Source organism: Homo sapiens, chromosome 3 (assembly GCF_000001405.40).
Source record: "Homo sapiens chromosome 3, GRCh38.p14 Primary Assembly".
NCBI classification, from domain to species: Eukaryota; Metazoa; Chordata; class Mammalia; order Primates; family Hominidae; genus Homo; species Homo sapiens.
Window position 1 is genome coordinate 156,461,966 of NC_000003.12, and position 13,260 is coordinate 156,475,225.

Genomic DNA, 13,260 nt, shown 5'->3' on the forward strand with positions numbered 1-13,260 from the left:
TACCACTTGCTAGCTGTGTTATCCAGGACAAGTTATTACACCTCTCTGATTCTCAATTTACCCACCTGTAAAATGGACAGCATAACAGTTCATGAAGTGTCATGCTGACAGAGTGAGATAAGGTATGCAAAAGCATTTTGAAGGCTGTGCTGTATCACTGTAAAATACATTATCATTCTCTACCCACTCAGAAGAGTTGCTCTAATAGCCTCTGTGGGAGTCAGTGACAATTTGCCAGGCTGCTGTCTACTCTTGCTCTTTGAACATATAGTTAATGTGCATATCCATATAGGCCAAATGTTTTACAGGAAGCCTAACTTTGAAAAACTAAGTCTGTGGCAGTGTTTGTATAGAATATGCAGCTTTGAATAATCAAAAGGACTGCATTCATTTTTTATAATATTCCATCCAGCTTTTTGTTGAAGGTTGAAAGTGCTAAAGGAGACCGGGCTCCCCTGTGGCAGATTGCTATTATAATAGGTATCATGAGGTTGATGTATTAACCTGGAAAGTACATCAGCCCTTTCAGGTTGTGTTATCTCCAGGTACATGTATTTATCGACCTTCCATTATAGTGATTCAAATTACTTTTGGGGGGATTCACTTCAGTGGGATGGGGCTGCTAACATTTTCAACAAATTTTTCTTGTTGCAACCAAGTTGTCAGAGTTGTCACCATCATTCCCCATTGGTTATCATTAATCATACTAGGTTTTTATACCTGAGAGCCCTGAGGCGTTGACCCTACAGATGATGGAATTATAAACGCCTTATTTCAAGCGCTCCTGAAGATTGGCCTTAACCTTTGAATCTCAAATGATGTTTTCTCTAGACCAGTGCGATCAAATTACATACCGAGGGAAACCAAATTGCACTGAGATCTGCTTCCCAATTTTATTGTATACCTGTAGTTCTCAAGACATATTTCTTATTCCATGATCATAATGCTAGGATTGCATTTCCTGCCCTTGGTTGTGGCTTTCAGAAGGTAATAAGTTTGCTGATGAGATATGCACATTTCATTCCCCTAGCAGTAAAATGGTAGAAACTTGAGTTAAGGACTTTAGGACTGTTTTCCTAAAATGACATTTCCATTTAATAAGACACTCAAAGACATTTTTTTCCTGTTTGTTCTAAATATTTACTATTATAATTCACTTCATCATTTAAATGTCTATGTAGTCAGTTCCTGCCTGTGAATGTGATGTTAGAAGGGATAATAACTTGGAGCCACAAGGATCCATGTTCCTTGGCAGAGTGGAGTCCTCCTGGGAGGAGTTCATATGCAATCAGCGTGAGGCCAGATACTGAATACGTGTTCATTGTTGTTTGTTCATTTGACTTACTAAAGCAATTCATCCCCTCAGTCTTTTCACTTTCATCCCCACACGCCATTTCTGACCCTCCATGCTGGCCCACCACTCACCTTTACTTTGCTATGTCGACATGGGCTTGCTGTCAGTTCCCAATCTGACTTGTTATCACTGCCCTCCACCTCCTCCAGGCAAAGATCATTTCCATTCAGCCTCTTCCTCTAGGATCCGACTTTGAGTCCCCCGCACTAGCTTCCCTTTGTCTTTATTTCAGTGAGATGGATTAACAAATTTACCTCTTTACCAATTTTTAAAATGTGAGGTATAATAACAAATTCTTTCTGGTGCTATTATAATAATATGACTCGGTACAATAACCTGCATTTATTTACTACTTCTCTGTGTTTGTCTTTTTGATATACAGGAGGTCCAGTCTGGTCATAACAACCAAACTCTACTGGGGTGGAAAGTAAGTTATTTTTCCTACTAAACAGAAAACAACTAGTAGTTCATGCTTTTTTGCTGTTAGGCAGTTATTTTACATATAACGTACCAAAATTAATTGGCTTAGAGAGAGGGTTTTTTGTTTTTTTTTTGTTTTTTTCTCACACTAAGGAAATAGCAATTAGCCTAAGATTTCATTTTAGCAAGGTAATCCCAAAGAAATTTAGTGCAAAGCATGTGGTCACTTGTTACTAAGTGATTAATGTAGATTTTTCAAATACCAATCTCATACTTAGAATCATTTCCAAAATAGAGTTCAAATTTGAGGAAAGAAAAATAGGCACAAAGCATCACAGAAGAAAAGTCACTCAAATCTGCCAAAACTCAGAGACTTCTACAGAATGCAAAGATAAAAATATCTTGTCTGGCTCCATGTCTAAGTCTCTGATCATTTCTGCAGAGGGCTCTGAAAGTGCTGATCAAAAGGACCATCTCACTGGAGAATAACATGGAGCTACCTGTATCACTCGCTGTCAGGCCAAATGAAAGAGAAATGCTCTCTGTTGTGGGATACAGAGAAGATTTCACAGGATGAATTGGCTTCTTATGGGCCTGCTGGCATTTGAACTGGTACTTACATTATTCAGCAGGACTTAGAAGGCTGGCCTTTTTGACAAACATGTAAGAAAACAGCAAGATATTCCATATACCAGAGCAATCATTGGTACTGTGCTTTTCCATCTTTGAGACAGAAATCGCAAAAAAATAATAATAATAATAATAATAATGCTGGAGTTTTAACAAAAAGCAAAAACAAACAAAACCTTATTTACCTTCCTATAATTGATAGGGAATTTTTTTTAATTAGAGGCAGAGGCCAATTCTTCTTTAGGAACCTTCTAATCAAAATGTCTATGTGTATATACACACTTGCAAACACATACTCTATTTTGTTGTTGGTTTTGAGCCTATTTATAATGATATGAAGACAGAAAGATGGAATTTAAATTTTTTATTCCTGTAGTAATCTGTACAAAAATAAAGCAACATCATGCCTATGAGAAATGTGGATTTTCATTGCCCGAGCTTTGATTCACAGTGCCATTGCTCAGTGCTTTCGAAATGCTACAAAACCTTTCAGGAAATGAGACAGTCTGCAAGAACCATTATATAGTAGAATATGTAGTAGAATACTACCTACGGTATTACTAATGTACTTATTAAGAATACCAAATAAGAATACATTCACAAAAGTGAATGGTAAATATTATATTTAAAAAGAAGCTGCCAAAGGTATTGATGTTGAAGAAACATGTTATGGATACTTTAAAATTCAAGTACCATATTTCATTCTAATTGGCCAGAGCTTGAGAATTGGGAAGGCAAAAGTCCTTATGATTAAGGGTCTGTCTTCTGGGGGTACGAATTTAAGGAACATTTGCTTCATCACATTTTAATTTAGTTTTAAAATTTATTTTGGAAGTCAAAAGGCACTTCCAAATTTGCTTCCTTTATCAGAAAAGCTAACAAAAAAGTTCAGCAGCCTGGCAATCTTACAATAAACTCACAAACCTATGTCAAGCCTTTTTATTTTCTCTAGATTGGTTAAGAACAAGGTGAAAAGGTCGTACAGTGTCTTGAGTTAAATATGGACAGAGTGTACGTGGCTGAGTTGCTGTTAACTGGAGCCTGGTGTTGAGCATGTTAGTGGCTTGGTGACAGTCGTGGATGATTCATCTACTGAGATCTCCAAAGAAAAGGGGTTCAGTGTGTTGCCCACCAGACTTCTCTCCTTAGCCTCCCTCCAGTGGTGTAGAATTTGATAAGAACAGGGTGCAAAATTAGCAATTCAGACCAGAGATTTAGAGAAGAAAAGAAAGCACACTCTCATTCAAAGTTATTTGCTTCTTTTTCTTGGCAGAGCTGAAACAGAAAGAGGGCTGTCAAGAAAGCATATTATTGAAGGTGGGTACTTCTGCTTCAATTTTATTTTTGGTTGTGGGCCCCTCATTCAAGAAAGGTATCAACCAAACAAATTCAGAACACACTGGAAGAGGAAAAAGTTCTATATGAAAAGTGCCACAATCAACCAAGTTTCTTCTTGGGGTTAAATATAGGGAATGCAGAGATGTAGAGGGGAGAATGGGAACTCAAAAGGAAAAGGCAAAATTGTATAGAACTCTTCTCATTTTCAGCTATTACTAATATTAATAAAACATTCTCATAAGACTTTTTAAAAGAGCTTTATTGAGATATAATGTACGTATCATGAAAGTTTACCCATTTAAAGTGTACATTTCATTTGTTCTGAGTATAATTACGGAGTTGTACACCAAACACCCTAATCTAATGTGAAAACATTTTTATCCCCCCTAAAATAAACTTTATACCCACTAGAAGACACTCCCTATCACCTCCTCACCCCCTCCCACAGTCCCAAGCAACCATAAATCTACTTTTTATCTCTATAGATTTGACAATTCTGGACATTTCATGTAAATGAGATCTCATGATATATGATATTTTGTAACTGATTTCTTTCACTTAGCATAATGTTCATTCATGTTGTAGCGCATGTCAGTATTTTATCCCTTTCTTTGCCAAGTAATAGTCCACTATATGGATAGCCACATTTTGTTTATCCATTTATCAGTTAAAGTGCGTTTGGCTTATTTTCACTTTTTGGCTACTCTGAATAATGCTGCTATGAACATTTGTGTGCAAATTTTTGTGTAGACATATGTTAAGACTACTATAGTTTTTAGTTTTTATTTTATTATTATTTAGATTTTTTCATATATATATTTTATTTCAATAGCTTTTGGGGTACGAGTAGTTTTTGGTTACATGATGAATTGTATAGTAGTGACCTCTAAGGCTTTAATGCACTCATCACTGAGTAGTATACTATACTGTTTTAGAAGGGAATATACATATGCATAAAAAATGTGTAGAAAATTACCACTAGGTAATTGATTCCTGGTGCATTACTTTTGCAAGGCACCCAAAACTTTGTATAATTTAGAAATAAACAGGAAATAAAACAGTCAACAAGAACCATTATGTAATAAAGTACTACTACTCTACTTAATCGTGAAGATTGTGAGAATTGTGAGTAATTTTTATTTCTTGCTTGTCTATATATTATCAAACTTTACACTTATACTTTTTGCAGTAAAGAAAAATGTTAAGAGTTTATACTAGTTCGTGAAGTACAGATGCTCCCAAATTTATGATGGGATTACATCTCAATAAACCCATCTTAAATTGAGAATATCTTAAGCTGAAAATGCGTTTAATACACCTAACCTACTAAACATCATAGCTTAGCCTAGCCTACCTTAAATATGCTTAAAACACTTACATTGCCCTACAGTTGGGTAAAACCATCTAACACAAAGCCTATTTTATAATAAAGGCTATTTTATAATAAATTAAATGTCACATGCATTAATAATTTATTGAATACTGTTCTGAAAGTGAAAAACAGAATGTTGTATGGAAACTCCATGTACAGTTTCTACTAAATGCATATCACTTTCACTACATCATAAAGTTGAAAAACCATAAGTCAAACCATTGTAAGTTGTGAACTATCTGTATTTCAAAAAAAATCCAAGAATTTTGTAACTTTGGATTCATGATTGATCATTGAAACAAGTGATTTTCTCCTTTTTAAAAAATATTTTCATTTAGGAAATACTAACATCACCAAAAATGTAAAATGTGCTCTAATCTCACCACTTCGAAAATCAAAATAGATAAGGAAGCCAGGTTCTCCATTTGCTCATCCAATCTCATCCCATCCTAGAGTCTGACAATCTGGTACACATCTTCTTCACCTTTTCTCTATGGTTGTACTGACTTATCTGTCTATCCATCCATCCAAACACTGGCTTATATTTTAAATATATATATAAACAGTAGAACCAGGCCACAAATATTAACCTAAGCCTTGATTTTTTTCTTAATTAAAATACACAACTTAACAGATTATTTTCAGTTTTTAGCATTTTAAAGAATTATACAAGTGACCATCCTTAGGTAAATGGGGTAGATTCCAGAGTGGCATTGCTAAGTCAAAGAATTATACAAATTTTAACACAAAATCACTTTCTAAAAGGAATATGCCATCCTGTTAGATGAGCTGGTCTTATTTATCTCCTTATTTATATATTTATTTATTAGTGAGTTTGAGCTTCTTTTAACAATTTTGTTCTTTTTCTGGAAATTCACTCTTCATGTTGTCAGGCTATTTTTCTTTTGATTTCTTTGTCTTGGTCATAATACTTTGCAGGAGCTCTTTGATACTAGTGATGTTCACTTTTTGCTTGGTCATATGTATTGCAAATATTTTCTCTCAGGCTGTCGTTTCATTGTGAACTTTTTTCTCTCCTTGAACCTAAGAGCTAATGTTTCATTTGAGTATTTTTATTCCAACTTGGAAGCTGAAGATCTTTATAGACCTATAAACAAGACTACGTTGAAATATCTTAGACTTGCAATAGAAAAAAAATAGTTTCAGTATTCAATCACTGAATTTAAAATGAAGACATTTGAAGCCAGATCTCAGAATGTATATATATGTATTCTTTCTTGATTGCCAGTGTGAACCATATGTGTGTGCATGCGTGTGTGTGTGTGTACATAGATATATGCCATAATAATTAAATCACCCCATTGTTTCCAAAGTCTTTGTATAGGTTTGGTATCTCTCACTGACTGTTTTTTTAATATAATTTTAAGCATATGGGCTTTCAAATCAGACCTTTGTTCAAGTTCCAACTCTGTGATTTATGAGCTGGTGACTTTGTGCAAGTTACTTAACCTACCTAGCCTCTGTCTCCTTAACTATAGACTATAAATATAAAGGTTACTATATGGGGATAAAAATTATATAATTCACATTGAGCACAGTGTCTGTCACATAATAAGCACTTAACGCATGTTATTTTTGTCATCATCATTGTCCTTATAAGTACAACTGCTAGTCTTCATTCCATGGATAAGGATACTCTTTACTAAGTAGTGACATTCTGAAACAGCTACAATAAGTGACAACCTTCTAGCCCTAAGAAAAGCATCCAAATTCCTCACCCAAACAGCATCCCTGCTCAGGCCTTAGTGTCCCATTTGACATTGTAAAGTCAAAGCTAAGCTGCCTCTCAAAGCTGTTACTGCCCTAGCATTCCTGCTCCAGCATTTGCCCTCATGACTTGTATTCTCTTCCATGGAGTTTGCCAGTGACAAATAACTCAAGTCAGCTTACAGAACCACGCTGAATGAACAGGGCAGCAGTATGTTTCCCGAAAAGTTCTTGTTTTTTGTTCTTTTCTTTTTAATCTAATTAATTAGAAAAGAGAGATTCGGAAAATGGTTCACACTGGCAGTTAGCAAAGAAATATAAAATCGAAGAGAAAAAGAATGGAGAAGGTCTGCTACTATGCTCCTCACTGCATCTCCATTGCTTTAATATTTACCAGAGTGTGTACATAATTTCAGGGTTCTCTCTTTCTTTCTTTCTTTCTTTTTTTTTTTTTTTTTTTTTTTTTGGAGACAGAGTCTTACTCTGCCACCCAGGCTGGAGTGCAGTGGCACGATCTCGGCTCACTGCAACCTCCGCCTCCAGGGTTCAAGCGATTCTCTTGCCTCAGCCTCCCAGGTAGCTGGGACTACAGTCATGTGCCACCGTGCCCAGCTAATTTTTTTGTATTTTTAGTAGAGGCAGGGTTTCTCCATGTTGGCCAGACTGGTCTCAAATTCCTGACCTCAAGTGATCTGCCTGCAAATAAGCATTTTTTCAAGCCTCATATGACATAATAGAAATATCTTAAATTCCCTCCACCTTTAAATAAGTCAGGAATTCTCTTAGGAACTAATCTCTGAGGATGGATAAACCAGTTCAGCTGAAATTCAAGCTGACCCAGATTCAAACTTTAACACAAAATTTCAAACTTTTGAGATGGAAGAAGAATTGAGATCATTTGTTATTATGTTGGTGGTGGTGGTGTTATTTTACAGTCCATAGTTTCTGCCAAAGATAAAGCCTTGTGATTACAAGAGAACTAGCTCAAAGTATTTTCTAGGCAGGCTGAAATTAGGGAATTGAGTGAGTTTTGCAGAAAAGCAAGGACATGAGATGAGACCCAAAATAAAGTTTAAAAAAGTTTACAAGTTATTATCCTTGGGTTTCATTGGTACTTGGTTCTGTGATGAAGGTGACCTCACTCGACATTGGAGATTTGTATACAAATTAAATTAGAGAAGTACCATTAGAGGATAAGACAGAAAGTTCAAATTGATACAGAGTTCAGGCCACTTCTGTGCTGGGTGACCTTAGCCACCTGAGTTAGTTTACAGAGTATACAATGAGCTTGATTTGTGCTTAATGTAGGTTTGAAAGAATTCATATTGAAAGGCCTTTTTAATGAGCCCAAAGTTCTTGACTTAGATCTGCTTAGGTGTAATGTTCTCCTTAGATTCACAAGGAAGAGGAAGAAATTTCACTAGCAGATTGATTACACTCATTTAGAATCACAAAGTCCCCTCAGGTTCTAAAATCCAATTTACTCATTCAGCCATTCCACAAACATTTTTTAAACCCCAATTTGAGCCAATCTTAGAATTTAGCAGAACAGATTCCTTTGGTACTGGCTGGGCATGGTGGCTTATGCCTGTAATCCCAACGATTTGGGAGGCTGAGGTGGGAGGATGGCTTGAGGCCAGGAGCTTGAGACCAGCCTGGTCATCATAGTGAGACCCTTGTCTCTACAGAAAAAGTTAATTAATTAAGTTAAAATAAAATACATTCCTTTAGTGCCTAATGTGAAGGAAAAGAAATAGTTTGGTAGGTCACCAAGTAAGAATAAGTAAATCGCTTGTATATTCCAACAGCCAAAAGCTGTGTCCGACTCTACATTTGCCTTTCAGGTAAACAATTTTGTTACACAATTCAAAACACAAACCCACTGCCATTGTTTTTGGAGTAGGAGAGGAAAATAATCTGAGAAAGCTCTGCTTGAAACTTTTTAATTAATAACAAATCTTAAACTCTATGAACTTTAAAAGAAAAAGACAATCTATGATTTTTCAATTAAAGAATACATTTCTGAACAAATGGATTTGCCACAGGATTTTTTTTCAGTGTACTACGTTCATGTAAACATACATCAGCCATCAAGGATAACCACGTTTTGTAACGGGAGGCACAGCCATATGCTGAATATGATTCCAGTACAACCCAGCCTTTATAAAAGAAGCAGGTGTCTCAAATTATGATGATAGGTCTGCTGAGAAAAAACTAGAAATTATATAAACAATGTATATTATTTAAGGCAACTTTTTTTGCAAGCTAGATAGAAAAGCAAGTGCGTGGTAGGTGTAAAAGGTGACAACACAGCATGCTTAAATAGAACCCTTGCAGAATCTCCAAACTACTGATTTCCTTGCTTCCACACAGTCAAACCTGCAACAGTGAACACCCCATCCACCTCTAACTGTGCCAATCTGCTGACTGTCTGGAATAAACATATTTCTTTAGAAACCTGTGAAATACACTTAAATTGAATTAAGGTTACCTTCTAAACAGTATGGTTCTTGTTAAACTTTGGAACCTAAAAGAAAAATGGACTTAGATTTTTTTTTTACTGTAGTCACTTGAAAACTATTTTCTTTGAGTAATTTATTTTCCTGTGGACTTTTGAGAAATTGCCAGTTTACTTCTAATTATCTCCTCAAGGTCAGGGAGCATTTCTCCTGCTTCTCCTGTTTTCCTCTTTCCACAGACGCTGGGTTAGTGCGGAGGCACAGGCTAAGGTCAAATAGCCTCCAGCAAGTACATTTGCTGCACTGGAGCACTTACCTCCTTAGGTTAAGATTGGCTGCCCAGCTGCCCTTCTGGAGCCAAGGTTAATGCATTTTTGCATGTCTACTTAAACTTAAAACAATACCTGGCCCTAAGCCAGCACTCAACAATCATTTGCTAAATGGAGATAGAACATGATGACTTGTTTTTTGAAACTAAACGTAAATGGCTCTTAAGGAGATACTCATGAAACATATCTTAATGTTGATTTCATTTATGTATTTCTACAAAATTAAAGCATCCAGAGAGGAAAAAGCAGGAATATCTGATTTGGTTTGCAGTCACATGAAAGACCAAAGCAGGAAGATCACCAAGCACCATTTTGTCCTTGGACAGATGAGGAAACTGAGGCTCAGAGAGGCTAAGGGATATCACAGGGTCATTCGGGACAGCCCAAATCAGTACCCTGAATCCCAAACCCTGTGCCTCGCCTCCTCTGAATGCCAGACTGGTCCATCCAGCTGCCAAGAGCTCCATGTAGTGACTGAGGTGCTACTTAGACTCAACTTGGCTCCCCGACCACCTCCGGTTGGCTTTCCCCCTGACTGCCCCATTTAGTAACAGTCGCTTCACTTCTCAGGCCAAAAATCTAGGAGTCATTCTTATTTACTCTAATCTCCACACCCTATGTCCAGCACACCAGCAAGTCCATGTATTACTACTTACACAACCTGTCCCAAATGTGTACACCTCTCACTAACTTTGTCTGAGCTGGATGAGCTGCGGTGGCTGTGCCTGCCTTCACTCTTGTGCCTTCAGGTCCCTCTCAGCAGGTGGAGCCATCAGTTCAAAATGGAAATCTGATCATATTATTTCCTCTGCTTAATCTCCTCCTCACTCGACCCTCCCCAACCAATGTCTTTAAATCTCACACAGAATCCAAAGTTCATACCATGGATTACAAGACTTTACGTGATTGAGATTTTTAAAGTGAGTGGATAGTGTCCTTTAGAGGGACAATTTCCTTTCACTCCACTTCAAAGTCAGAGGAGGGATCACTGGCCTCAGATACTTGAATTTCTTGCCAAATATCAAGAAAGTGCTTTTCAGAGAAAGAACTAAAGAGGTGGGAATGACCAAATACCATGAGGCTGACCTTAGGATCAAGTCCATATCATTAGTTCCAGGTACATATTACGACCTTGAACAAGGAACCTGTGCCAATAGCCGCTCTCAATATGCACTGTTAGTGCTCCTTGGGATGAAGACTGTGTCTGTGCATCTTTAAACCCCGAGAGCCTGGCACGGTCTCAGGATAAAATTGGAACTCAATACATGCTCATGGGATGGAATAATAAATGACAAAATCACACCTGTCTGTGACATGCCTGATCACACAGTGCTGTAACAGTGCCAAGTTATTTGTAGCCTCTTCTCCTAGTTACTCTCAGCCCACACTGAGCTGTTTAGAAGAGAACGGAGAGAGAGGGCCATTGTCAGAAAACAAGATACTTATTTCCTCTGCCAGGCATAGGCCAGAACTGTCATTAAATGCCCCTTTCCAAAACAGGGGGTCTAGTGAAAATTTTTGGCATTTGGTCTTCTGCTGTCTTCCCCCTGAAACTTTCCAGATGCGAACACCATGGTATAATTTCACATTCTGGTTCTGTAGACTATGTTACACAGCTCTCCCAGGAGCAGCAATTCTGAAGGTGTCAGTATTGTTAGGCCCACTGCAGACTAGAGAATTGAGTCTCAAAGAAAGGTCAGAGAACCCAAGTGGGGTCCCTAGCATGCTAGAGTGCAGATTTCCGACCTTTCAAACCTTGTGATACCCTGTTATTTGTTTACTTAGTATTCCTGTCCTTTCCTTACCTCCTCCCTGCATACAACTGTCCCCAAAAGTGGCTCATATCATGATACTTTTTCATGTTAATTTAATTTCACACTGTTTCTTGAGATAGCTGGTGATACCCTGTGCCTGAGCATCACAGAAGGTTTATAGGAGAAGGCATTAGACCTCATAACATCTGTCTGCCCTAATCTCTTCATCAAAGCTTTTAACAAGCTACCATCACAGACAATCCTTTCTCAATGGATGGAAAATATTTCCAGAACAATATTCAAGCACTCCATTTTCCTGTCAGAAAAGTAATTGTGGCTGGCTGATAAACCAGTATGAAAAATCAAATTTAAATGAACCAAATTTAAATTTATAAGAGCCTCATTTAACATGCAATTAATTTTATGCCTATAATAAAGAGACTAAAGCCTCTGGTCTCCCTGAGGAATTAAAGAGGCTGATAAGAGAATGCTAAATGCTGTGCCCCATGGAAATAGGGTAACATGATTCTCGAACACTGTCATCCTTTTGGTTGCATAATATTATATACAATACATTCTATTTCAGGGAAGCATTAATTTTACTAAAATTAATTTTTTTCTGAGTATTCATAGAAATGTGACCAAATGGTTAGGGCTGAAACATAGGCGGTTGGTTCCTGACTCCCTTTTTAAGTTCTTATTCTCTCCTTCATATTACGTCTTCAGTCTTTATAGCATTAGCGTCCAGTGTTTTTGTTTCTTCCCCCAAAACAGAGAATAATAGAAATGGTAGAGCTCAGCTATATTTTATGTTCCTTAAACTTTGTTCCAATTAGTAAAATGTTGAGCAAAGGCTTCATTTGCTAACCCCTTTATATTACTATTAAAACCAACATTTACATTAAGATGGGGTTGGGGCAGTCATTTATTTCTGATTTAAACCATTTTAATGAGTTTTATGTGTAATAAATGTACCTCTAGCTCACTATAAGCCTATTAAGTGATCCAAAATACATAAATATTAATTTGCATTGTTCAAGAAGAAAAACACTAACTGTTGGAAAGAAGCTGCTTTTTATTCTAAATTTTGCTTCTGGATATTGCCACATACAAGTCACTGTGAAGGTCATTCCTAAGTGTATATTTTCCTGTGAGAGTGATAATATTCCTGAAAAAGCTCTAAGACTTTTTTTATTGGGGGAAGTCAGCCTTTCATATATTTTTAAAACGTTCTAGAGTCAATTAACAATCATTGTATTCAACGCATTTTTGAAACTATTCCAATTCTATTTTTTTAAAGCAAATTCTTGAAAGAAACCAAACTTCAACTCTGAATAGTGCTCATATTTAGATTTTGGGGTTTGTTTCCTGCTTCTGCTCCCAGGATTGAAGGGCTCCCTCCAGAGGCTGCAGCTCGAGTATGTGGATGTGGTCTTTGCAAATCGACCGGACAGTAACACTCCCATGGAAGGTAAGTTAAGAAAGCTAATAAAATACTCTAGAAATCTTGATTCAGTTTGAGGGCTTATTCTGCTCACAGCAGGAAATGAATTGTATTCAGACTGATCAAACTGAATGTGAAAAATAAAAATGTTTCTGACTGATGCCTTTTGGCCTCAGCGTTTAACCCCAAAACCAATGCTCTGCGTGCTGCGTCTTCTTCTTTTAAAGCAGTTGAAGGCATTGGGCTCGTGGCTCCCGCTGGTTACAGTGCTCACCTTTTCCAGGTTCATTTCACTTTTGTGATTTCATCAACTAAAACAATAAAGTTAATTGGAAAGGGGCTTTATAACTCAGCCATCATCGCGTCACAGTAAATCCTTTGAGGGTCTTCCTATTTTATAATGGCTCTAAGTCTGATTAGTTTCCAGTCTGT

The 13,260-nt window shown here is 37.0% G+C and overlaps 1 protein-coding gene across 11 annotated transcripts in view, besides 1 other annotated feature; it reads left to right on the forward strand.

Moving 5' to 3' along the window:
- Positions 1 to 13,260, forward strand: part of KCNAB1 (potassium voltage-gated channel subfamily A regulatory beta subunit 1) — a 420,928-nt gene that overhangs the window by 343,755 nt on the left and 63,913 nt on the right. For 9 of the 11 annotated variants that reach the window (XM_017007171.3, NM_172160.3, XM_017007174.3 and 6 more), the window contains 3 exons: positions 1,737 to 1,781; positions 3,678 to 3,721; positions 12,769 to 12,855. In XM_017007171.3, the coding sequence (XP_016862660.1) occupies positions 1,737 to 1,781; positions 3,678 to 3,721; positions 12,769 to 12,855 (176 nt within the window). The remainder of the gene's footprint in view (positions 1 to 1,736; positions 1,782 to 3,677; positions 3,722 to 12,768; positions 12,856 to 13,260) is intronic. The other 2 variants (NM_001308217.1, NM_001308222.1) reach the window with 1 other exon arrangement.
- Positions 998 to 1,609: an enhancer, noted in NCBI's record as "OCT4-NANOG hESC enhancer chr3:156180752-156181363 (GRCh37/hg19 assembly coordinates)". NCBI's record gives its function as "activates a minimal SCP1, AML or CMV promoter by ChIP-STARR-seq in naive H9 embryonic stem cells {active_cell/tissue: H9 hESC(naive)}" and the evidence as "EXISTENCE:reporter gene assay evidence [ECO:0000049][PMID:30033119]".